Genomic DNA, 27,689 nt, shown 5'->3' with positions numbered 1-27,689 from the left:
AGGGAGCTATCTGTTTTTAATTCCTCAGGTTTCATGAGGAAAACAAGTTTTTTTTTTTTCTCAAAATGGGGTCTGTGGTGCCTCCTCTGTTTTTCCCAAGGAGTCCCAGGCTACCAGAAGTTACCTTAGAGCTTCTCATGTATGCATTGAGTGGCAAGACAAAACCAACAAACAAAAAAAGAGAAAAACCATTCAGTCGACTGAGAAGAAAAAGACCTTTTTCAGGAAAACAAGTTCCAAGAAGAGGAAAACATAAAGGCCTTTTAAATATATCTATAGTTTATCCACTTTTAATTAAGCTAACTTTTAACCATAGTGCTCTTTAAAAAAGAAATTGTTTCAGATCTGTTATTACCCGACTTTAGCCTTGCCAAGTGGCCAATATTTCTAGCTTCTGAACTTTACCAAAGATAACCTCCTAGGTGCTTAGAGAAAGGAAAATTTAAGACAGTCCTCAGAGGGGAAGAGAATAGACAAAGTCACACAGATATTAAACCAGAAATGACTTACTTTCTAGGTGGGGAATTGAACCCGGACCGCCACTGTTAAAGTGCAGAACCCTAGCTACTGAATTACAGGACGGGGCAGTCTCTATTCCCTTTCCCAGAAGAAGTCTAGGGTAGTTAATTTTGAGCTTGCAAAGACTTTTTAACTATGTCATATGATTTTTAGAGCTAACTATGACATAAACCCTAAAATTTCTGTTTCTTAGAAGGCGAAGACCAAGAGAATGTACTTCCACGTGGTTAAAAGGTCAAGCTCCCAAGGACTTAAAAGAAGGTGGAGACTTCATCCAGTTCTTTTTTTTTTTCTTTCTTTCTTTTTTTGAGACGGACTCTTGAGCTGTTGTCCAAGCTGGAGTGCAGTGGCGTGGTCTCAGCTCACTGCAACCTCCGCGTCCCAGGTTCAAGCAATTCTCCTGCCTCAGCCTCCCAAGTAGCTGGGATTACAGGCACCCACCCACCACACCTGGCTAATTTTTGTATTTTTAGTAGAGACGGGGTTTCACCATGTTGGCCAGGCTGGTCTCGAACGCCTGACCTCATGATCCTCCCATCTCGGCCTCCCAAAGCGCTGGGATTACAGGCATGAACCACCGCGTCCGCCCTCATTTAGTTTTTTATTTGTTTCAGGGACCTGCAGCCAAGTTTGTTACTGATGAGCTTGCTGGGTCATCTTGAAAAGCAGGCTTACAGGTATTCTAAGCCCATGTTTTATCCTGAAGTACCCCTCAACACAGAAAAATTAATTCATGGCACGAAATACACCAGCTTAAGACTAGCCTTAGAATTCTTTTTCACACTAATTACAAACTTCTCAGAGGAGATAAACTCTGAATTTTTTTTTCTATTCGTTCAACCATTTGCATAGAAAGATAGAAGCCAGAAATCTGGTAAGAAATTCTTACCCTTCTGCCGGCATGCCAGGCTTCTGGGTTCCCTTTCCCTGACCAGCACTAATGATCCAGCTTGTGGCACCATCGCCTTGGGGGCCAAGCCACATTGTAAAGGAAAATCGTTATTTTTTTTTGTTCTGGCCAGAGCAAAATACGTGTGATAAAACATAGACATTAGCCACTCTGCTTAGTACCCAATATCAAACTGGCAAGGCTTACATTTGCCCCACATGGGCCCCTTCATCTTTAATCCAACCTCCGACTTGGAGTTTCAGCACGTGGTCTCTAGGCAAGATGGTTGCCCTGAATAACAAAAAAGACGGGAAAGGAGAGAAGGAAAATTATTGCCTCTAGTAGGGTGGGACAGGTGAAATGCTCAGGGAGGCCAGAGAAAGACCCACCCATTGCAGCGACACTGAAAAGTTCAGGTGGCTGCTTCTTGGTAGCAAAGGGATCTTTTCCAGCAATCCTATTAGCTCTCAACTTTCCCCTTTTAGGGAAGAAAAAGCTTCCCATGTCCCACGATCCTGTACATGCCTAACCCTGTCACCCACAGCCATTAGCAAAGAGTACAAGGCAGATTAATCCAAAGAGAATAGCAGTTAACATCTGGTAGTGCCAAACCTGTTGTTAACCAAGGTGGACTTTACTGAGAGGGGCCTCTAACCCCCTAAATCTTAGAAGAGACTCTAACCCTCCAAAGTTGTGCCTCTAACCCAAGGTTGGTCAAGCGTCCTTGCCTTTTATTGAGAGGAGCATTTAACCCACTCTGTTTTAGGAGAGTCTCTAACTTCCCTAAGTTGGGCCTCTAACCCAATCCCATTCTTTACCCGGGTACCCAACCACTTACCCAAAGTCGTCCAATTAGTGCTGCAGTCTACTTCCTTTGGGTCAGGGGTCTCCTCAATATCGTCTCTTCTGTGGTTCACCAGAAATATGTTGCAGGATCCGAACACTTACCCAAATGGAGCTGTTGGGTCCGGGTTTCTGCACTATAGTCCCTTCTGTGGTTACCAGAAATACATTACCAGAAAGGGGTCCTGATCCAGACCCCAAGAGAGGGTTCTAGGATCTCACACAAGAAAGAATTCAGGGCAAGTCTGCAGTTCAAAGTGAAGGCAAGTTTATTAAGAAAGTAAAGGAATAAAAGAATGTTACTCCATAGACAGAGCAGTCCTGAGGGGGGCTGGTTGCCTGTTTTTATGGTTATTTTCTGACAATAAACTGAACAAAGGGTGGATTATTCATGCCTCCCCTTTTTAGACCATATAGGGTAACTTCCTGACATTGCCATGGCATTTGTAAACTGTCAGGGCTCTGGTGGGATTGTAGCAGTGAGGACAACCGGAGATCACTCTCGTGACCATTTTGGTTTTGGTGGATTTTGGCTGGCTCCTTTACTGCAAACTGTTTTATCAGCAAGGTCTTTTTGACCTGTATTTTGTGCTGACCTCCCGTCTCATCCTGTGACTTAGAATGCCTTAACCATCTGGGAATGCAGCCCAGTAGGTTTCAGCCTCATTTTACCCAGCTCCTCTTTAAGATGGAGTTGCTCTGGTTTATACGCCCCGACAACGGTACCAAGTTAGGTTGAAGACTATGTTGAGGAACAGATTCAGCAGGAAAACTGTGAGCTTCACTACTAAATAGGATATTTTGTTACCGACATCCACTCCTTTATACAACTGAATAAAGATGTTAATTTAGTGGTCAACCATGATTGACAATTTTTATTGCTATAGAAAAAACTTTCATGTTGAGTCTGGGTAAACTACTATTTTTTAAAAAATGCAGTATTTCTGAAGCTTAACACAAAAGTTTCTCACTGAATAATCATCTGGCATGTATGTTACTAAGCTGGCAGCTCTCCTCAGGGGCTCTCCTCACGCAGGCGTCTGCCATTATGTGGCTCTGTCCTCTAGGTCGTTACTCAGACAATAGAGGTTAGCACATGGGAGGGTTTTATGGATCATGCCTGGAGATGGCTTTTGTCATTTGTATCCACAGTCCATTGCCCAGAATGCAGTTGTGGCCATGCCTAATTGCAAAGGAAGTTAGGAAATATAGTCTAGCTATGTGTATAGGAAGGAAAGGGAGATAGTTCAGTCCATAAATAAACACTGCCACAGGATAGATTCCCAGTATGTACAACAGTGAGCTTTATTCCTATCTAGTCTGTCATTATGAATAATGTAAGCACAGATCGATTGTTGGTTCTAACCAGAAATGTTAGATTTCAAGTCAGTTTGAAAATTATATGATGGTCAATGTCTTAGTCACCCTGGGTGGCTATAACAAAAGTGACATAGACTCATTATTACACTCATCACTACTACTCATTATGACACCACCAGCTTTTCTGGGTTTCTAGCTTACAGAGGGCAGACTGTAGGACTTCTCAGCCTTCATAGTCATATGCGCTACATTCTTATAATCTCTTCTATGTCTCCATCGATGTGTCTGTATCTAACTACTATTCTTTTTCTCTAGAGAACCCTAACACAGTCAACATTAAAAAAATTGACACATACTAATTGTACACATTTATGGGGTGCATAATGATGTTTTGATGCATACAGTATTCATCACCTCAAACATTTATCAAATGAAAGTAATTTAGCACATCCATCACCTCAAACATTTATCATTTGTTTATTTTGGGAAACATTCAAAGTCCTGTTTTCTAGCTATTTGAAAAATATATAATACATTATTGTTAACTATAGTCACCCTACAGTGGTATAGAACAGCACAACTTATTTCTTCTATGTAGCTGTAATTTTGTATCTTTTAACCAGTATTTCCCTGTTCCCCCACCCCGACCCTTCCCATCCTCTAGTAATTACTATTCTATACTCTACTTCTTTGAGATCAACTTTCCTAGCTATGGCATATGAGTGAAACATGAGATATTGATCTTTCTGTTCCTGGTTTATTTTACCCAACATAATGTCCTCCAGGCTCATCCATATTGCTGTGAATGACATGATTTCATTCTTTTTTATGGCTGAATAGTGTTCCATGTGTATATATTTTATTGATTTATATGTTAATGAGCACTTAGGTTGATTTCATATTTTGGCTATTGTGTGAGTAGTGCTGCAATAAACATGGGGTTGCAGATATTTCTTCGATATACTCATTTCCTTTCTTTTGGATATGCATGAGTTCATTCTCACATTGCTATAAAAAACTGTCTGAGATTGGGTAGTTTATAAAGAAAAGAGGTTTAATTGACTCACAGTTCCAAAGATTGTACAGAAAGCATTGCTGGGGAGACCTCAGGAAGCTAACAATCATGGTGGAAAGGTAAGAGGAAGGAGGAACGTCTTCACCTGGCCAGAGCAGGAGGAAGAGAGAGAAGGGGGAGGTGCTACAAACTTTTTTAAACAGAGAAATACAGATCTCATGAGAACTCACTATCATGAGAATAACAAGGGGGAAATCCTCCCCCATGATCCAATCACCTCCTACACAGGCCCCTCCTCCAACACGAGAGATTACCATTTGAGGTGAGATTTGGGAGGGGACACAAATCCAAATTAGGAGATATACCCAGTAGTGGGATTGCTGGCTCATATGGTACTTCTATTTGTAGTTTTTTGAGGAATCTTTATACTGTTCTCCATAATAGCTGTACTAGTTTACACTCCCACCAACATTTTATAAGAGTTCCCTTTTCTTGGCATCCTTGCCAGCATTTGTTATGTTTTGTCTTTTTGATAATAACCGTTCTAAGGTGAAATGATACTTCATTGTGGTTTTGATTTTCATTGCCCTGATTAGTGATGTTGATGTTGAGCATTTTTCATATGCTTATTAGTCGTTTCTATATCTTCTTCTAAGAAATATCTATTCAGTTCATTTGTCCAGTTTTTTGAATCAGATTTTTTTTGAGTTTCTTATATATTCTTAGATATTCTAGATATTAACTCCTTGTCAGATGAGTAGTTTGCTAATATTTTCTTCCATTCTGTAGTTTGCCTTTTCACTCTGTTGGTTGTTTCCTTTGATGTGCAAAAGCTTTCAGTTTGATTTAATCCCATTTGTCTATTTTTGCTTCTTTTGCCTGTGCTTTTGAAGTCTTATTTATAATGTCTTATCTCAGACCAATGTCCTGAAGTGTTTCCTCTAAGTTTTCTTATAATAGATTCATAGTTTGGGGTCTTACATTTAAGTCTTTAATCCATTTTGAGTTGATTTTTGTATTAATGGGAGAGATAGGGACCTAGTTTCATTCTTGTGCATATGTATACCAGTTTTACCAGAACCATATATTGAGGAGACTGTCCTTTCCTCAATAAATGTTGTTGGCACATTTGTCAAATATCAGTTGACTGTAAATAAATAAATTTATTTCTGGAAGCTCTATTCTGTTTCATTGGTCTATGTGTCTAATTTTATACCAATACTATGTTGTTTTGATTACTATAGTCTTGTAATATATTTTGAGGTCAGGTAGTGTGACACCTCCAGCTTTGTTCTGTTTACTCAGGATTGCTTTGGTTATTTGGGCTCTTTTTTGGTTCCATACAAATTTTAGGATTTAAAAAAAATTTTCTGTGAAGAGTGTTATTGGTGTTTTGATTGGGATTGGATTGAATCTGTAGATTGCGTTGGGTAGTATTGAAGCAGGATATTTCCCTGACCCCCTCGTAGGTGGGACCTGGAGTGCACAGGTGCTGGAACTAGCTGGCCACTTTGGCACCAGCAGGGGTGAGCTCCACTCAGTGGCTGCTCCACCCCTTGCTAGTGGGGAGTGCTGGTGAGTGAGTGCAGGGGCTGGGGTGAGGGCTTTTGGGTGCCAGCAGGAGCAGACCCTGTACTGGTCCTGCGGCAGTGCCTGGGGGCAGTGCTTTTGACCCCTGAAACCCCAGAGGAAGTGTTAGGCTACCCTTTTAGTTCTGCCATCTGTGGACAGCTTAAGTGTTAACAGCTCAGTGGAGGATTAGTGTGATAGCCTTTTGCACCTGCACTCAGGGTACCTGAGTTTTTGTCAGGCGTCCAGGAGGAATGAGGTTGCAAGAACAAATTGAAGATGGTAAATGCGAGGGATTTTATTGCTGTTGAAAGTGGCTTTTTCAGCGGGAAGGGGAGCCAAAAAGGGGATGGAGCAGGAAGATAATCTTCCCCTGAAGTCTGGCGGTCCTGGCTGGACTCCTTTCTGAAGCTACGCCATCAAGCTGTCCTGAAGGCAAGCTGCTTCTCTCTGACATCCAGCCATAGACTCTGATATTCTGCTGCTTCTCCTCACTGCTGGCTGAGTTCTGGGGATTTTGTAGGCACAGGATGGGGGACAGGGTGGGCCATGGATGGTTTTTGAAAAGGTAACATTCAAGTGGGAAAGCAGGGATGTACATTTTCACTTTGGGCTGCGGTTCCAGGTTTTTCAGCTTGAGGTTATGGCCCTCACTGGGGACTTGCCCTCTTCTGCCCAGAATTTTCCTGCCTCCTGTCCCTATCACTATGGTCATTTTAATTAACTAATTTTTTCAGTCCAAGAACATAGCATGCCTTCCAGTTTTTTTTGTGTGGTGTGTCCTCTTCAATATTTTTCATCAGTATTTTATAGTTTTTCTTGTAGAGATCTTTTACCTCCTTAGTTAAATTTATTCCTAGGTATTTATTTTTTGTGGCCACTAACACAGTCAACATTTTGATGTATATTTGCAAAGAATTCAGTAAGTAAATAAAAAAGTAGTATCTATTATAATGGCCTATAATATTTATATTAGAAATGATTGTATTGGCATGCTCATTTTCTAAAAGTTTGACTTGGTCATAGTAATGTTGCAACATTGAACTTATAATTACAATTTATTAAATTTGTAGCAAATAAATGGCCTTGGAGCTGTTTCTTAAAATTGTGTTTTATTATTTAATATACAGTAAAATGCACATATGTTATGTGTATGGCTTGCTGAACTGTCACATATGTTAACAATCATTTAAGTACCACCTATATCAGGTGTAGAATATCGCCAGTGCTCCAGCAAGCTCCCTTGTGACCCCCTCTAGTCAATATGTTCCCCAAAGGTCACCACCATTCTAACCTCCATCACCATATGTTAGCTTACTTTTTGTTTGCACACTTTACAGGTAGAATAGTACTCTGTATATCTTACATCTTTTTTGTGTTTGTTTTCTTTTGTTCAACACTATGATATTTATCCGTACTGTGTTTAGCAGGAATTCATTCTTTTTCTATTGTGATATTCTAATATTTGACTATCAAAACTTCCATTCTTGTATATTGAACATTCTTACATTTGTCTGTTGGTGGACATAAGGACTCATTTCTCTTGGATATATGCTGAGATCATAGAACATCTACTTGTTTAAAATAGTTAAACCACTCACATCAGCAATGTATGAATTCTAGCTACTCCACATCGTCACCAGTATTAGCCATCTGGTAGAGGCAGAATAATATTTCATTGGTTGTAACTTGCATTTTCTTGATGGTTAATGATGTTGTGTACCTTTTCAAATGCTCATTGGTCATTTGGATATTTTGTTCGGTGCTTGTTCAAGGCTTGTTAAAAAAATTGAGTTGTCAGTCTTTTTTCTTATAAAAGGCCTTTGTCAGATATATCAGTTTTAAATATTTATTCCAGTCTCAGGCTTGCCTTTTAAATCTCTTAATGTATTTTGTTGAATAAAAGTTCTTAATTTTAATGAAGTTCAGTATATCAATCTTTTATCTTATGGTTAGCATTTAATGTCTTATGTTTAAAAAATCGTTGTCTACCACAAGATTATGATGTTATTCTCTGTATTTCATTCTAGAAGCTTGATTGTTTTAGCACTCACATTTAGAACTTTAATCTGCCTTAAATTATTTTTTGTAGTTTGACTGAGGTAAGAAAGTTCTATGTCTGACTTTCTGGCGGTATCACATTATTTTGATTACTGTAGTACTGTAATAAGTTTTGAAATAAGAAAGTGTGAGACCTCCAACTTTGTTCTTCTTTTTCAAGATTGCTGTATTAGTTTGCTAAGGCTGCCATAACAAAATATCACAGACTCCGTGGCTTAACCCACAGACATTTATTTTCTCAGCTCAGGCCAGAAGTTTAAGTTCAAGGTGGGCAGGCTTGTTGGCTGCAGAGGCCTCTGTCTTTACTTGCAAATGACCACCTTCTTGCTTTGTTCTCACATGGCCTTTCCTCTGTAGACTCACATCTCTGGTGTCCTTCAATGTATCAAGTTTTTATCTTTTTATAAGGACACAATTCTGATTGTATTAGAGCCCACACTAAAGGCATCATTTTAACTTAATCACACTTTTAAAGTTTCTGTCTCCAAATACAGTCATATTCTGAGGTACTGAGATTTAGGGCTTTAATATACAAATTGTGGGTGGTCACAGTTCAGCAAATAACAATCGCTTAGGCTATTTGGAGTCCCTTGAGATTCCATATGAATTTTAGGAAGGGGTTTTCTCTTTTTTATAAAAAATGCTGCTGGGATTTTGATATGAATTACATTCAGTCTAGAGATCACTGGGTAACGATGACATCTTAACAATGTTAAGTCTTCCAATCCATTAACAGGGATGTCTTTCCATGTTTATCTGTGTCATCTTTAGTTTCTTTCATCAATGTGGTACAGTTTTCAGTGTACAAATCTTTCACTTCCTTGGTTAAATTTATTTCTAATTATTTTATTGTTTTTGATGTTAGTATAAATGGGATTGCTCTCTTAATTTTCTCTTCAGATTATTCATTGTTAGCATATAGAAATGCAACTGATTTTTGCATGTTGATTTTGTACCTTGCAGCTTTGCTGATTTCATTTAGAGTTTTCCCCATGTACAGTCATGTCATCTTTGAATAGAGGTAATTTTACTTCCTTTCCAATTTGTATACCTTTTATTTCTTGCCTAATTGCTCTGGCTAGGACTGCCAGTATTACGTTGAATAGAAGTGGTGAAAGCAAGAATCTTTGTCTTGTTCCTGATCTTAGAGGAAAAGTTTTTAATTCTTTTACAATTCACTATGATGTTAGCTGTGGGCTTTGTACATATGGTCTTTATTATGTTGAGATACTTTCCTTCTGTTCTTAGTGTGTTGATAGTATATATCATGAAAAAGTGCTGAATTTTGTTAAATACTTTTTTTGTATCAATTGAGATGACAACATTATTTTCTTTCATTCTGTTACTATGACATTAATTTGCATATGTTGAACTATCCTTGTATTACAGGAATAAATCTCAGTTGTTTTGGTGTCAAATCAGTTCAATATGCTTTAACTGGTATTTTGATCAAGATTTTTGCCTCAATAGTCATCCTTTATTTCTCCTTTTAATATATTAGAGTTAGGTGTTTTATAGATACCTTTTATGATATTAGGAAAATTTTCTTATCCTTAGTTTGCTTAGTTTTTACTATGAATGGAATTTAGATTTTATTAAGTGCCTTTTCTGTATTTATTAAAATGTTTTTTTTCCTATTTTACTGTTACTATTGTCAAGCACATTGAGTGAAAGTTGAATGTTTAACCTTGCATTCCTGGAATAAACAGTTTGATCATAAAATATTATCCTTCCTATGTATCACTGGATTTGATTTGCTTGTGTATTTTTAAAATTTTTTATTTACATTTATGGAAGAAGTTGGTCTATAATTTTCTTTTAATTCCTTATTAGGTTTTAGGTCAATTAATATACTGGCTCCATTAAATAAATTGTGATGCTTTAGTCATTCTCTATTCTCAGGAGGAGTGTTTGTAAGATTGGTATTATTTATTCCTTAAGTATTTGGAAAAGTTTTAAGTGAAGTCATCTGGGCCTCAAGTTTTCTTTCATGGCTACTTTTCACTTAAAGCCTCAATTTCCTCATAGATACCGAGCTATTAAATATTTCCTATATTTTGTTGTTCAGTCATGGAAAGTTATATTATTTTCTTAAGAAATATGTTTTATCCAAGTTAATTTATTGTTGTAAAATTATTTATAATATTCTTTCTTCTTTTAAAAGTGTGTGACAATGTCACTTTTTTCATCCCTCATAATGCTGTTTTGTTCTGTTCTTCATTTAAAAAATTGAATATTGTTAAGGAATTGTTACTTTTATTAACCTTTTTAGAAAAGCGATGCTGGCATTGTTGATGGCCTTTATGGAATGCTTGCTTTCTACCATTACTGCCTTTTGCTCTTATTTCCTTCTTTCCATTTTTTGGAGTTTAAATTTTTGTTTTTTTCTAATTTCTTAAAGTAGGTTTTTAATTATTTTCCTTTGTAAATATATATATATATATATATATATATATATATATATATATATAATTTTCCTTTTCAAATATATATATCTAAAGCTATATGTTGCCCTCTGAACATTGTTTAGACTACTTCTGTTTACCTTAAAGTTCAGTGAGAAACTGTTTTTTAAATTTGTTCATAATTTCTGTTTTTACTCACCTTCCAAAGATTCCCTTACCATCTATATATAATATATATATATATAGTGTGTGTGTGTGTGTGTGTGTGTATACATACATATTTGCACATATTATTTTTTGAGACAGGGTCTTGCTCTGTCACCCAGGCTGGAGTGCAGTGGTGTGATCACAACTGCCTGCAGCCTCAACATCCTGGGCTCAAGTGATCCTCCCACCTTAGCCTCCTGAGTAGTTGGGACTACAGGCATATGCTACTGCCCCTGGGTAATTTTTAAATTTTTTTGTAGAGATAGGGTCTTGCTATGTTGCCTAGGTTGGTCTCAAACTCCATGCCTCTAGTAATCGTCCTGCCTTGGACTCCCAAAATTCTGGGATTACAGTCATGAGCCACCATGCTGGCTTTTGCTTATATGTTATAACTCCTCATTCTGGTAGTTTTTTCTTCTTATTTCATGACATTAGTGATTTTGGAAGTGAATCCCATTTGGTGAAGATTCTTGAATGTGCTCTCATTTGAGTATACATTATAATGTACATTTGTCTCAGTGTAGGCAAAAATCCTAGGGGAATATCTTACTGTAGAACAGTCCTAGCCATGTTCCTGAAGACATGAGATTTAGATTATCTCCTCACATGCAGCAATCCCTGAAATAGTTTAGCTTCATGAAAAGCCAAAGAAAACCCTGTATCTTTAGAATGATTATAACCAACAAGTAAAAACAGGATAAAAGGGTAAAATGATTTGAGACTTTATTACAATTTAAAGTTCCTGACATTAAATGCAAACCGTATTTAATAAGTGGTGTTTATATGAGATTTCCATACACTTTATTGACTTCAGGTTTAAACTGATAAGTTGGCACCATGGTAACCTGGAGGGTTTTGTGAACTAAAGGCCTTGTCTCTTAATGACCATACAGGACAGGCCAAAGGATGCATACAGAAGCAAAGAGTTGCAGCTGAGATGAGTAAATAAAGCTGAGTCCCTCAAATAGCCACATCCACAGGAAAAAATTAACCCAGGTTTAGGGGTAGAGCCCTGGATAGTTTATAAGTCATGACTTGGGCTTTGATTTGTCTCTTCTGTAAGTTTACGACCACTTGGATTTGGTGGTTAACCTCATACTGCCTGCATTTTCTGGTTTTTACAACCAGAGATGATAATATAAAAAGTGACCTTTCTAGGTGCCACTTTTGGACATAGAAGAAGCAAACATAATACAACCCTGAAAACAGACACTTTCAATGACTTCTGTGGTATTTATATGCCCAGATGTGAACAGCCTCTTAGGTATTCAGCACTGGTCTATCCAAACACTTTTTTGGAATGGGCTGCTATAGTTGTCTCTCTTGTACCCTTTCATCTTACAGCAGGATACAGCATGGATACAGCAGGAGTAACCATCATGCAGTGTGATCACGTGGCCATGGTCAGCTATCCAGGAATGGGTACCTGACTCCAACCAGGGTAGGTAGTCTCTTCCCTGGGAACTTGAACTAAGAAAAAGTTGTTATTTTCTATTGGCTGAATTGGTAATTTAGGAACTCTTCTTGGTGAATTAAACCATTTCCCAGTATGTAATCACAGTCTTTTTTGATCTTTGTTGGTTTAAAGCCTGTTTTGTCAGAAACTAAAATAGAACTCCTGCTTTTTTCTGCTTTCCATTTGCTTCGTAGATTTTTCTCCCTCCCCTTATTTTGAGCCTATGTGTGTCATTGCATGTGAGACTTGGAAAGGTTTGGCAGTGATAAATTCTCCTACGTAACACTGCAGCCAGAGAGGATGATAGAGAAAAACAGAGGGTAAAGAGACAAAAAAGCCCCAAGGTCTTTTAGTGCTTAGGTTTAACATTCTCTCATTGAATCCCTTCCTCCCACTCCACCTTTTTTTGTTTTGTTGTGGAAGCTAGAGTTGATTTCTGTTACTTGCATCCAAAAAGAATTTAAACTAATACACCAAGAGAGCCTCCATTTCATTTTTTGCATGTTCTCAGAGATGTTTAATTTCAATGTTTGATGGAAGAAATACTCCAGATCTGATCATGAAATGCCATAATTCTATAATTTAGATAAACACTCTAATTCATTCTTGCCGTTGGAATAAAAATGTGAATACAATTTATTTCATCATAAATTTATAGATTTTAAAAGTTATTTTAACCATCCATTATACTAGTAGAGAGACATTTAAGAATGAAGTAATATATTTCTTTCAGCAAAATAGAGTATGCCAATCTCACATATCTGCATTTAACATTTTGCAGGTGAGGTTTGCTCTCCAGCTAAAATTATTCTCTTTCATATGAACAGGAGATTGGTTGAGTGATAGTTCTTAATTCAAGAAGGAGCAGTGTAACTGTGACTGAAAAGCTATTCAGAAGCAAAAATATTCTTCTAAAAATAGTTTTGCGTTCTATAGAATGTTACTCATTTAATAGTCACCTTTGAATATTGAAATTCCTTTTGACTCATCAGATACATTCTGTCATGACATAAAAGACATGCTTTAAGAATTTAGCGATTCATGAAGAACCATTTATAATTTCATATTTCTACTTTAGGGAAATAGTTATGGGCAGAATGTTGGAATGCAACTCTCCCTGCTTCAGTGTCAACTGAGGTATCAATTCCATGAGTATCAGGGCACCAAATGGTGTGAAAGCATCACATGCAAATTTTATGAAAAAAATGTAAAGGGAACTGTTCCAAAATACTAGATACATCTGACATGCTAAGGATAAAAGAAGAGGTCACACAGACTTTTGAGAAGGGGACTGGGGAAGACAGATCTTTGCAGAAGCTATTGCCATATTTGGAGAAGGAGAGGGGTGTGCTGCCTTCTGTGCCTCCAACCTAGTGGGAGGGATTTCCATGAGGAGACCTAGAAAGGCTGCTATGTTTTTCTTTTTTTTTTTTGAAACTGAGACATAATAAGTAATATATAACTTAATAAGTAATAACTTACCTACTCCCAAGAAATGTACAGAGAGACAGGATGTGGTGGGCATAATGCCAGTCCCCCAAAGATACCTATGTCTTAATCCACAGAATCAGTGAATATGTTACCTCACGTGGCAAATGAGACTTTGCAAATGTGATTCAGTTAAGGACCTTGATATGGGGAGACTATCCTGGATAATCCAGGTGGGCCTAACGTAATTGCCAGGGTCTTTTTGAAAGGGAGGGAGGAGGGTCAGAGTCAGAGAAGGAGATGTGACGATGGAAGCAGTGGTCAGAGTGACGTGGCAGGAACCAAGGAATGCAGACAGTCTCTAGAAGCTGGAAAAGGTAGGAAACAGGCTGTCTCCATTTCACCAGAGCCTTCTGAAGTAGGTAACTGATTTCATGTATCTGACCTCCAGAACTATAATAATAAGTGTGTGATATGATAATTTGTTACTGAAGTAACAGAGAATACATAGGCTGATGCTTTGTTGGCAGAACTCAGAGATGAAGGCCAATAATGGCCTTGTCTATGTCAAGGGAAATGGAACAGAGTGGGTCCCAGAAAGCTCAAGGGCAACTTAATGATACCTCCACTCATTTTTCCAACATGTAAGTCCTCATAGAGGATAAAGCCACCTTTAGATTGATATGGAAGATAAGGTGTAGAAATGGAGAAACTGACTGTCACCAAGGCTTTGAATCATAGCAGTTCCAGCAGTCTGGAAGATAGGAGAAGACTTGATATTAAAGCAAACTTACAACTTTATTATCTTGAACTGGACTTTCTAATTACTTAATCAAGAATTTTTAATGGTATAAAGGGATCATGGAGCTTTCCAGAATTTTCTTCTAGGGAGAATTTTTGTCTCTTACTGCATAAACAAGAGAGTAGAAGATAAAATATAGTTATGCTTTTAAATTCTATGAATGTTTTCAAATATCTAAAAAATTAGACTAGGACAATGAATTTTCTTCTACTATGGACTTAATTGTTTCTCCCCCAGACTCATATGTTGAAGTCATAACCCACTATGTGACGTTTTTGGAGTTAGGGCTTTTAGGAGGTAATTAAAGATGATGGGTTCATTAGGGTAGGGTCCTAATCCAATAGGATTTGTGGCCTTATAAGAAAAAGAGAGAGCGAGAGACAGAGAGAAGGAGAGAGAGAGAGAAAGAGAGACACAGATTTCTATCTCTCCAATTTGCACACAAGAAGAAAAGCCTTCTGAGCACACAAAAGTTGGCCACCTACCTGCAAGGCGCACTCACCAGACCTACCCATTCTAGCACCCTGATCTCATACTTCCAGCCTCCAGAACTGTGAGAAAATAAATTTTTGTTGCTTAAGCCACCCAGTCTATGGTATTTTGTTATAGCAGCCTGAACAGACAAATACACCATCTATTAATGTTCTATATTATCAACATTGTGTCCTACTTTATCTATTTTCTCCCTCCCTTCCTCTTTTTCTTTCTTTCTTCCTTTCCTTTATTCTTGTAAAGCTCGTTTTAAATTAAACTTAGACATAATGTGATTTTCACTTCTAATTTTATCCATCGATGTCTTTAAAAAATAAAGATGACTTACAACTTAACTATTGGGACAAACATCATTACCATTTATTAGCATCTAAATTCCCAAACCTGCTGGGTCCATGGGACTTTGAAGTGAGTTATGTGCATGTGAATTGCTCTCAGTACTGAAATGAAAGCAGAAGGAACATGTATCAGTTAGCTATTACTGTGTGCTAACCCCTACCAAGATTTAGTGGCTTAAAATAAGAATTTCTCACTGTTCTCTTAATCAGGTGGACATTTCTTCTGGTCTGAGATGGCGTGGCTGATGTCTAGGGTTAGCTGGCTTATTTCTTGGTTGTGGCTGGAGGGTCTAGGAGAGCTTCAGCTGAGATGCTATCTTTGCTCCACGTGTTCTCTTATCAGCAGGCTGGTTTTGAATTTTTTCCTATGGTAGTCCCAGGCTTCCAAAGACCATCCAGAGAGTAAACTCCAATGCACAAGCACTTTTCAAGCATTTGCTCCTGACACATTGCTAATGTCCCATCCACTAAAGTAAGTCACATAGCTAAGCCCAAATTCAAGGAGTAAAGAATAGACTTCATCTCTTGATGGGAAGAACTGTAAAGTCATAAATGAGTGTGCATACAGGATGAGAAGACTTTATGATGTGGCCATTTTTACAATTTGCTATGGGTTTCTGAGTTATGATTAACTGAAGGCTCTGTTTTCAATATGGTGCATGAGGAGACTGGATAACAAATTAACAGTTGGGAACTGGAAGTGGAAGAAAGTACAACAGGATTAACAAGAAAAGCAGCAGGATAAAATACAGGAAAACAATAAATTTACATAAATATTGATTGCCCTGCAAATTTACTTAACTATTATCATAAATTTCTTGTACATTCTTTTCTGTGTACATGATCATGTTGCCTACAAATAATGACAGTTTTAAATTGTTCTTTTTAGATGCTCTTTATCAAGTTGAAGCCATTTCATTCTATTCTTTTTTTAATGTGTGTGTGTATTTATATGTATGATAGATTTTTAAAAAATTTCAGCCTTGATTTTTGATACAGGAAGTACATGTGAAGGATTGTTACATGCATATATTACACCCAGATAGTGAACATAATACCAAATAGGTAGTTTTTCAACTCACACCCATCCTCCCTCCCTCTCTAGTCTAGTAATCTATAGTGTCTATTGCTCTCATGGTTATGTCCTTGGAAAATCAATGTTTAGCTCCCAATAAGCGAGAATATTCATTTGGTTTCCTGTTCCTGCATTAATTCCTTTAGGATTATGCTCTCCAGCTCCATCCATGTTGCTGCAATGGACATGATTTCATTCTTTTTTATGGCTGTGTAGTATTCATGGTGTATATGTTCCACATTTTCTTAATACAATCCACCATTGATGGGCACCTAGGGTCTATTCCATGTTTTTTTCTATAGTGAATAGCATGGCAATGAACATATGAATGCATGTGTCTTTTTGGTATAATGATCTAAATTCTTTTGGGTATATTCCCAGTAATGAGTTTGCTAGGTCAAATGGCAGCTCTGTTTTAAATTCTTTGAGAAATCTCCAAACTGCTTTCCACAGTGGCTGAACTCATTTGCATTTTCACCAACAGTGTATAAGCATTCTCTTTTCTCATCAGCCTCAGCATCTGTTATTTTTTGAGATTTTTTTTTTAATAACAGCCATTCTGGCTGGTATGAGAAGGTATCTGATAGTGGTTTTGATTCGCATTTCTCTGATTAGTGTTGATGAGCATTTTTCATATGTTTGTTGGCTGCTTGTATATCTCTTCTTTTGAGAAGTGTCTGTTCATGTTATTTGCCCATTTTTTAATGGGGTTATTTGTTTTGCTTGTTGATTTAAGTTCCTTACAGATTCTGGATAGAGCTTTGTCAGACGCATAGTTTGTGAATGTTTTCTCATAATTTGTAGGTTGTCTACTTCCTCCGTAGGTGGTTTCTTTCACTGTGTAGAAACTCTTTAGTTTTTGCTCTTCTCAAGGAGTATCTTTGTGGTGTTGTCTGTATTTTCTGAATTTGAATGTTGGCCTGTCTTGCTAGATTGGGGAAGTTCTCCTGGATAATATCCTGAAGAGTGTTTTCCAACTTGGTTCCATTCTCCCTGTCACTTTCTGGTATACCAATCAAACACAGGTTTGGTCTTTTCACAGAGTCCCATATTTCTTGGATGCTTTCTTCATTCCTTTTCATTCTTTTTTCTCTAATCTTTTCTTCACACTTTATTTCATTAAGTTGATCTTCAATCTCTGATATATATATGTTTTTTTCTGGTTGTTCGATTCAGCTACTGATACTTTGTGTATGCTTCACGAAGCTCTTGTGCTGTGTTTTTCAGTTCCATCAGGTCATTTATGTTCTTCTCTAAACTGGTTACTCTAGATAGCAATTCTTCTAACATTTTTTCAAAGTTCTTAGTTCTCTTGCATTGGGTTATAACATGCTCCTTTAGCTTGGAGGAATTTGTTATTGCCCACCTTCTGAAGCCTACTTTTGTCAATTTGTCAAACTCATTCTCCATCCAGTTTTGTTTCCTTCCTGGCGAGGAGTTGTGATCCTTTGGAGAAGAGGCATTCTGGTTTTTGGAATTTTCAGCCTTTTTGCGCTGGTTTTTCCTCATCTTCGTGGATTTATCTACCTTTGGTCTTTGATTTTGGTGACTTTCAGATGAGGTTTTTGTGCAGACGTCCTTTTTGTTGATGTTGATGCTATTCCTTTCTGTTTGTTAATTTTCCTTCTAATAGACCTCTCTTCTGCAGGTCTGCTAGAGTTTGCTGGAGGTCCACTCCAGCCCCTTTTCACCTGGGTATCACCAGTGGAGGCTGCAGAACAGCAAGGATTGCTGCCTGTTCCTTCCTCTGGAAGCTTCCTCCCAGAGGGGCACCCGCCAGATGCCAGCCGGAGCTCTCCTATATGAGGTGTCTGTTGACCCCTGCTGGGAAGTGTCTCCCAGTCAGGAGGCATGGGGGTCAGGGACCCACTTGAGGAGGCAGTCTATCCTTTAGCAGAGCTCCAGAGTTGTGTTGGGAGATCTGCTGCTCTATTCAGAGTCAGCAGGCAGGAACGTTTAAGTCAGCTGAAGCTGTGCCCACAGCTGCCCCTTCCCCCAGGTACTCTGTCCTAGGGAGATGGGAGTTTTATCTATAAGCTCTTGACTGGGGCTAATGCCTTTCTTTCAGAGATGCCCTGCCCAGAGAGGAGGAATCTAGAGAGGCAGTTGGCTAAAGCGGCTTTGCCGAGCTGCGGTGAGCTCTGCCCAGTTCGAACTTCCGGGCAGCTTTGTTTGCACTGTTAGGGGAAAACTGCTAGCTCAGTGTCTGCCCAAATGGCTTCCCAGTTTTGTGCTTGAAACCCAGGGCCCTGGTGGCATACGCACCTGAGGGAATCTCCTGGTCTGTGGGTTGCGAACACTATGATGAAAGCATAGTATCTGGGCTGGAATGCACTGTTCCTCCTAGCACAGTCCTTCACGGCTTCCCTCAGCTAGGGGAGGGAGTTCCTTGACCCCTTGCACTTCCCAAGTGAGGGAAGCCCTCACCCTGCTTCGGCTTGCCCCCTGTGGGCTGCACCCACTGTCTAACCAGTCCCAATGAGATGAGCCCGGTACCTCAGTTGGAAATGCAGAAATCTCCCACCTTCTGCATTGATCTTGCTGGGAGCTGCAGATTGGAGCTGTTTCTATTCGGCCATCTTGCCAGCCACCTGGGTGGGTGAATTCGTGAGCTTGGTTTCATAGGCATAATTTTTGGTATTATAGTTTAGGCTGTTAGCCAGTAGATGGTGCTTAAGAGCAATGGCTGGTAGCTAGGTTAATACCCAGCCATGTCGTTTTTGTACTTCCTCTTGTTTTCAGTCCTGCTCTGTGGTAGGCAGAGGAGACAAATGGCCTCCTCACCAGGTCCTCTCTGGGCTTTGGGGAAGTCCCCAAGGATCAATGGTGCTGCACCTGCATTTCTTTTCTTAGGTGTTCCAGGCTGCAGTATCCCCTCAGGCAGAGGCTGGCAGGGATATATTCCACATCTTTCTGGACTGGCCCTGCAGAGGATGGCATGCACCACTACTGCCCCCGCCCAGGAACACATGCTTCTCACCCCTCTCACTGCTCTGATGGTGGGGGCTGCTTCTCTGCTTGAGGGCCGGCCACAGATCTCAGCTCCATACTCCTGAGCTGCATGTTGCAGCCCTGGGGCACTGGGATGTCCTGCAGCTCGGGTTGGGATTCTGGATCTGATGTATTCCTGGGTTGCCAGGAAAGTGCTCAGGTGCAGCAATACTGGGCTGCAGGGGCTGCACTGTGCACCAGCTTATGCAGCACAGCTTGGTATGGACCCTGGGAGGGGCCAACGAGCAGGAGGGCCTGTAGAGCAGACATACTTCAGTCCCATGGGGAAGCTGCCCACTCTTTCGTGGCTGGAAGGTCAGCTGGGGCCCGTGCCTCCTGGAGGGGTGTGGGGAGCCCTGGGGGATGAGTGTCTATGGCCACATTCCCTAGAACTGCCCAGCACACAAAAGCTCCTATACTTTGTGCTGTCTGAAGGCCTGGCAGTCTTTGCTTGCTCCCCGAGGACATCCCCTGCCAGTTCATGCATCCATGGGGACATGAGGTCCCCTATAGCTAGGATCCCAGAGGTCCATTCTGAGAGAGAGCCATTCCTCAATTCCCTCACTCACCCCTTTCCCAGTCGACAAAGTCAGGAACCATTCCCTGGGTTAAGGTATCCGGTGCAGGGTTCCCCGCGACCTCCCTCTTCAGCCTTGGCTTTAGTCTTGCCTCTCCACCCACTTTTGGCATTTTCTTTCTGAAGATCTGCCCAAATTATGGTGGTTTACTTAATAATCTGATCCCTCTGGGTGGGAGCAGAACTTTTTGGCTGCATCCAGTCAGCCATCTTGTCCCCCTCCTCGTTCTATTCTTAAGGTGGAAACTTTGTTCATTGGTATTAGGTCTTTCTTTTTACCTAGGATAAGCATTTAGAGCTATACATTGTCTTCAAAGTTCTGTGTTAGCTTCATCCCTAAAATTTAAAAAAATTGTCAGCCATTTTGAAATATTTTCTAATTTTCCTTGTCATTTCTTGTCTGACCCTTGCATTGCCTAGAAGTGTCTTAGGAGATTTTCTAGATATGACTATTGTTATTAAATTCTAATTTAGTTTCTTTTGCATTAGAGAACATACTTTGTATGCCCTTAATCCTGTCAAATTTGAAACTTATTTTATGCTGAGCATGTGATCTACCTTGAATATTTTATAAGCATGGTAGAGAATGCGCATTATACTGTTGCTGGATGTGGTGTTCTGTAAAGGTAAATTGGGTTAGATTTTCAGTGTTGTTCAAGATGTCTGTACCCTTGTTGGTTTCTGTCTACTTTTTCTCTCAGTTGCTAAGAGAAAGCTTTAATCAAAATTTTCTATCTACTTCTCCTTTCTGTTATGTTGTTTTCCTTATTAATGTATTTGAAATCTTGCAACTACATGCATGCAAACTTAGGACTGTTGGGTCTGTTATGAATTAATAATTTTATTATTTAAAAATATTTGACTTCATTATTGGTAATATTTCTTGTATCAAAGTCTATTTGACTTCTATTAATATAGCCTTTCCAGTTTTCTTTTCTTTTTTTTTTTTTTTGACAGAGTTCTGTCTGTCACCCAGGCTGGAGTGCAGTGGCAGGATCTCGGCTCACTGCAGTGTCTGTCTCCCGGATTCAAGCGATTCTTCTGCCTCAGCCTCCTAAGTAGCTGAGACTATAGGCACATGCCACCATGTCTGGCTAATTTTTATATTTTTAGTAGAGACGCGGTTTCACAATGTTGGCCAGGATGGTCTCAATCTCTTGACCTTGTGATCTGCCCGCCTCGGCCTCCTAAAGAGCTGGGATTACAGGTGTGAGCCACTGCACCCGGCCCCAGTTTTCTTATTATTAAATTTTTCATATATCCCTTTTTCCATCTTTTTATTTTAACCCATCTTTGTGTATTTAAAATGAATTCTTCAAATATATCACATATAGTTGAATCTTGCTTTATAAAAAATACAGTCTGAAAATCACTGCCTTTTGTTGGAGTAGTTTATAATTTAATATTATTAATATTGCTGGGTTAAAATCTTACTGTTTGTTTTCTGTTGTCCCATTTCTAGTTTGTTCCTTCTTACCATTATTCCTGGCTCTTTTTTTGATAGGGTATTTTTAATATTTCTTTTTATCTTCACTATTGGTCTGTTTGATCTTTTTTCTTTTTTCTAGTGGATATCTCAGGGTTTGCAAAATACATATCTAATTTCTTTCTTTTTTTTAACTTTTATTTTAGGTTTGAGAGTATTTGTTATATAGGTAAACTCATGTCACAGGGGTTTGCCGTACAGACTATTTCATCACCCAGGTATTAAGCCTAGTACCCATTAGTTATTTTTTCTGCTTCTCTCCTTTCAACCACCCTCTACTCTCAAGTAAACCCCAGTGTCTGTTGTTCTCTTCTTTGTGTTCACAAGTTCTCATCATTTAGCTCCCACTTGTGAGAACATGTGGTATATGGTTTTCTGTTCCTGTGTTAGCTTGTTAAAGATGATAGCCTCCAGCTCCATCCATGTTTGCACAAAAGACAAGATCTTGTTTTTTTTTTATGACTGCATAGTATTCCATGGTGTATATGCACCACAGTTGCTTTATCTGATCTGTCATTGTTGGGCATTTAGGTTGATTTCATGTCTTTGCTATTGTGAATAGTGCTGCAATGAACATTTGAGTGCATGTGTTTTTATGGTAGAATGATTTATATTCCTCTGGGTATGTACCCAGTGATGGGATTGCTTGGTCAAATGGTAGTTCTCCTTTAGCAATTTGAGGAATTGCCAAACTGCTTTCTGCAATGGTTGAATGATTTATACTCCCATCAACAGTGTATAAGTGTTCCCTTTTCTCCACAACCTCACCAGCATTTGTTATTATTCATTGGTGTAAGATGGTGTCTCATTGTGGTTTTGATTTGCATTTCTCTAATGATCACTGGTATTGTTAATTTTATGCCTTGATGATCTGTCTAATACTGCCAGTGGCAGTTGAAGCGTCCCATTATTATTTTGTGGGAGTCTATGTCTCTTTGCAAGACTCTAAGAATTTGCTTTATGAATCTGTGTGCTTCCATGTTGGATGCATATATATTTAAGATAGTTATGTCTTGTCGAATTGAACTCTTTATCATTATGTAATGCCCTTCTTTGTCTTTTTTGATATTTGTTGGTTTAAAGTCTGTTTTGTTAGAAATTAGGATTGTAACCCCTGCTTTTTTCTGTTTTTCATTTGCTTGGTAGATTTTCCTCCATTCCTTTATTTTGAACATATTTGTGTCATGAGTTTCTTGAAGACAGCATAACATTGAGTCTTGCATGTTTTTTTTTACTCCAACCTGCCACTCTGTGCCTTTTTCATGGGGTACTTAGCCCACTTACATTTAAGGTTAGTATTGATATGTGTGGATTTAATCCTGTCATTGTCTTGTTAGCTAATTACTGTGCTGGCTTGTTTGTGTGGTTGCTCTACAGTGTCACTGGTCTTTGCATTTAAGTGTAATTTTGTATTAGCTGATCATAATTTTTCTTTCTATATTTAATCCTCCTTTCAAGATCTCTTGTAAGGCAGATTTGGTGGTAATAAACTCCCTCAACATTTGCTTATCTGAAACAGTTCTTATTTCTCGTTTGCTTATGAAACTTAGTTTTGCTGGATATGAAATTCTTGGCTGAAGTTTTTTCCTTTAAGAATGTGAAATGTAGTTCTCCAATCTCCTCTGGCTTGTAGAGTTTCAGCTGAGAGGTCCACTGCTAGCCTGATGGGGTTCCCTTTATAGGGGACCTGCTCTTTTTCTTTCATTTCAACCTTAGAAAATCTGATGATTATGTGTCTTCAAGATTATCTTCTTGTGTAGAACCTTGCAGGAGTTCTCTGTATTTTCTTAATTTGATTATTGGCCTCTCTGACAAAGTTGGGAATATGTTCATGGACAATATATTGAAATATGTTGTTCAAGTTTTTTGCTTTTTTCCTATCCCTTCCAGGGATGTCAGTGACTCATAGATTTGGCCTCTTTACATAGTCCCATAATTCTTGGAGGTTTTAGTCAATCCTCTCAATTATTTTTTATTTATTTTTGTTTTACTTCTTATTTCAGAGAGCCAGGCTTTAAGTTCTGAGATTTTTTTCCTCACCTTGGTCTATTCTACTGTTAGTACTTATGATTGCATTGTGAAATTCTTGTATTGTGTTTTTCAGCTTTGCCAGATTCATTAGGTTCCTTTTCATACTGGCTGTTTCATCTTCCAGCTGTGGTAGTGTTTATTGTGATTCTTAGTTTTCTTGATTTCAGTTTTGCCATACTTGTGAACCTCAATGATCTTTGTTTCTATTCATATTCCAAATTCTGTTTCTGTCATTGCAGCTAGCTAAGCCTGGTCAAGAACTCTTGTTGGAGAACCAGTAAGGTTGTTTGGAGGACATATGACACTCTGGCCATTTGAGTTATCAGAGTTCTTGCATTGGTTGAGTACAGTCAGTGAACTTCTTTACTGGATGTTTTCTCAGTACCGTGCTTTGTGCAGAGTCTTTATTTGAAGCAGACTTCTTGTCTTTGGTCTCACAAGGGGGTATGTTAGCAAGGTATTTTGGTGTTGAAGCTTTGGGGTGTGATCCAGTAGATGGTACTTTGGCTTATTGGTCACTTGGTAGACTCTTGTTTGGTTATGTGGCTCCCCTGTGTTTCCTCACAGTTGCAACTGGGTTCCCTCTCAATGCTCTGAAAGTTTGGGCTGCTCTCCCCATTGAATGCTGGCTGTAGATTTCAGTTTGTCACTCCTGCACTGCCCACTGCAGCACTAAGGCCATCTCAGGGTTTATGTTTCTCCCCCTACTTGGAGGCAACAGAGGAAGGGACCTTAGTAGTCCTTGTGGCCAAGGGTCTTTTGTTTGTCTCCTGAGGGCTCCACCCCAGAAAGGTGCAGGTCAACAACTGTTCAGTGCAATCATCCCAGGATGGGGGATCTGTGTGTGGGCACAAGCCAAGGGTTCCTTGTCTGGTTATGAGCAAGCTGGGGTGGGGGTGTGCAGAACCTGTGGGAGATGGACTGGTTTCCTCTCCTTGGGTCAACTGCAGCTTGTTGAAGGTATGGATAAGGCACTTAGGGTTTTTGCGTCTTAATGAGTCCTAGGGTAGTAAATGCAGTTCCACTGCAGAGGGCAGAGAGGCTTTCAGTTGCCCTCAGCAGCTCTCTCCAGGTTGTTGCATAGCTGCTACTGGCTCAATAGCCTGGCAGAGGGTGGTCGGAGGCCTAGGCTTGGAGGACCTGCCCGGTGAGGAGCTATGGGGACAAGCACCTATGTAACAGTCTGGTCACTTTTCCGAGGAGCTACTGTAGTATGCTGGGGGTCTACTCCAGTCTCTAGTCACCTTGGATTTTCCAGTACCTGGAGTTATCAACAGTAAAGACTATGAAACAGCAAAGATGGTGTCCTGCCCCTCCCTCTGGGAGCTCTGTCCCAGGGAGGTTTCAAAACTCTGTCTGCTGGAGAACACTGATGAGGGTAGCTGGAGACCCCAGTTGGAAGGTCCTGCCCAGTGAAGAGGAACAGGGCTGGAGGCTTGCTTAAAAAAAAGCAGGCCATGTTTGCATATAGCCACTGTGCTGTGCTGGGGGCCCACTTCAGGCCCCAGTCACCTCAGACTCTCCAAAGCCTGAAGGCTAAAACGGTGAAGTCAGCCAAACAGCAAAGGTAGTGGCTGGCCTTGCTGCTGGGAGCTCTTTTTCAGGGAAGTGTAACACTGCTACCAGTGGCTGAATGGAGTTCCAAGCCAGTGGGTCTTATCCTGTGAGGTGCCATGGAAGCAGGGCCCATAGACTATTGCTTCTCAGCCCACTGGATTCTGCCCCTTTTCTAATGGTGTGTATGGAGCCCTGACCTCCTGCTTTGCCAGAGTTTCAGCTCCTTTGCGAGGAAGCCCGGAAAGCCCAGGTATCTAAGGCTCCCAGGTCTCTGCATGTGACTGAGCAGAGATTCCATGATCTGCTGGGATTCCATGTAGGTCTGTGTGTCAGACTGAAGGCCTGGTGGAATGGGTTCATGAGGGTATCTACTCACCTGAGGGTTGCAAAGATCTGTGGGAGAAGCATGGGTTCCTGGGGTTGCATATTTACTCACCACTTCCCTGGACTGGGGAGGTTCCCCTGTGTTGAGGAGGTTCCATTCCTCTCCATGACAGCAGTGCACACTAGCTGCTTTTAGTTGGCCATCTCAGCTACCCCCTCTAATTTCTTATGGCATTCTGATGACATAACACTACTTCATTGACAATGGAGGAACCTTGCAACAATATTCTATTCCATTACCCACTTCTATATTTGGTTCTATTTCTAGATATACTTTACTTCTCTCTATATTATAAACCACACAGTTCATTGCTGTTATTTTTTCCTTACAAAACAAAATATCTTTTAAACAAATTTAAAAACAAGAAAAAGTTTCAAATTTTACCCATATATTAACCATTTTCACCATTTTGTATTCCTTTATGTAGATCCAGGTTTCTATCTAGTATTCTTCTCCAACCTGAAAACCTTTTAATATTTTTTATAGTTCCAGCAAAAACCCTTAGAATTTAATTCTTTTATTGATTTCTTTGAAAAAGTATTTTGTCTTTAGTTTTGAAGGACATTTTTATTTAATACAAATTTCTAGGTTAACTTTTTTCCCAGGACTTAAATGCTTTTGCTACATTGTCTTATGGCTTGCATTTTTCTGATGAGAACACTAATAATTCTCTACATTTTTCTACTATATATGATGTCTCTTTTTTCCTCTCTGATTACTTTAAAAATTTTCTTTTTGTTCTTGGTCTTCAGTAATTTCGTTATAATGTGTTTGGTGTGTTTTTCTTCGTGGTTTTTTTTGGCGGGGGGATTTGTATGTTGTTTTCATCAAATTTATAAAATATACAACCTTATTCCTTTGAATATTTTTCTTTTTCATGTAAGTGAAGCCTAATGTTGTCCAAAAACCACTGAAGTTTTTTTTGTCTGTTTGTTTCTTTTGTTTTTTGAGACAGAGTCTCACTTTGTCACCCAGGCTGGAGTGCAGTGGAGACATCTTGGTTCACTGCAACCTCTGCCACCTGAGCTCAAGAGATCCTCCCACCTCAGCCTCCTGTGTAGCTGAGTATAGGCACATGCCACCTCACCTGGATAATAGAGATGGGGTTTCACCATGTTGCTAAGGCTAGTCTCAAACTCCTGGGCTCAAGCAGTCTGCCTGGCTCAGCCTCCCAAAGTGTTAGGGTTATAGGCAAGAGCCATTATGCCTGGCCTCTGTGTATTTTTCTTTCATCTATTTTTCTTTCTGTGCCTTAGTTTGTGTAGTTTCTATTACTCTATCTTCAAGTTTACTGATCTTCTGCAGTATCTGATTTATACTAAGTCAATCCAGGATAATTTTTATCTTAAGTATTGTATTTTTCATCTTTAAGACTTGATTTTCTTATCTGTATTTTGTATTATGTGTATGTTTTTATTTAAAATTAAATATTCATCATATTAACAATAGCTCTTTTAAATCCTTGTTTGATAATTTCATCATAAAATTCATTTCTAGTTTTTTTTTTCAGGTCAGATGCCCATTGTGCAGACATGGTAACAAGTTTCAAGTACGGCACATCTCACACATGTGCGTGAAACACCCAATCATCATGCTCATGAACTACCAGAGGATCATCATTTCTAGGTTTTAAAACTTTTTATTCAGACAACCTCACTCTGTCACCCAGGCTGGAGTGTAGTGGTGCAATCATGGCTCACACTGCAACCTCTGCCTCCCGGGTTCAAGTGATTCTCTTGCCTCAACCTCCCAAGTAGCTGGGACTATAGGCATACACCCCCACATCTGGCTAATTTTTGTATTTTTGGTAGAGACAGGGTTTCACCATGTTGGTCAGGCTGGTCTCAAACTCCTGACCTCAGAGGATCCACCTGCCTCAGCCTCCCAAAGTGCTGGGATTACTGGTGTGAGCCACAGCGCCCAGCCTAAAACATTTTTTAATGACTTTTTTCTTCCTGGATACTGGGTTCCATTTTCCAGCTTTTCAGTCTATTATTATTATTATTAGTTTACTTAATACCACATGTTTTGATTCTTGTTATTGAGTGTTGACTTTTATGTTGTTGAGTTTTCTTAAGGAGCACTGGCATTTTTTCTGGAAGGGAGTTAAATTACTTGCAGATTTGCTTGATATTTTAGAGGCCTGTTTTAAAGGGCATGTCTAGTGTAGCCTTTACTGCAAGGCTACTTTATCATTTAGAAATGATACCGCTCAAGTCTCTACTCTTGGTAGGGAATGTCGC

General features: G+C 39.3%; 1 long non-coding RNA gene and 1 other non-coding gene across 2 annotated transcripts; one reads left to right on the top strand and one right to left on the bottom strand.

Annotated features, from left to right (window-relative positions):
• Positions 1-269: 269 nt before the first annotated feature.
• On the top strand, positions 270-9,938 carry LOC124900841 (uncharacterized). Its single transcript, XR_007058429.1, has 2 exons — positions 270-780; positions 1,134-9,938. It is a non-coding gene; the product is annotated as an uncharacterized LOC124900841 (long non-coding RNA).
• A 17,017-nt stretch (positions 9,939-26,955) lies between these two features.
• LOC124900906 (small nucleolar RNA U13) lies at positions 26,956-27,060 on the bottom strand. Its single transcript, XR_007058548.1, has one exon. It is a non-coding gene; the product is annotated as a small nucleolar RNA U13 (small nucleolar RNA).
• Between the last annotated feature and the right edge of the window lie 629 nt (positions 27,061-27,689).

This window comes from Homo sapiens, chromosome 4 (genome assembly GCF_000001405.40).
Source record: "Homo sapiens chromosome 4, GRCh38.p14 Primary Assembly".
Lineage (NCBI taxonomy): Eukaryota > Metazoa > Chordata > Mammalia > Primates > Hominidae > Homo > Homo sapiens.
The sequence above is the reverse complement of the archived record's forward strand: the minus strand, read 5'-3'. Positions and strand labels throughout refer to the sequence as shown.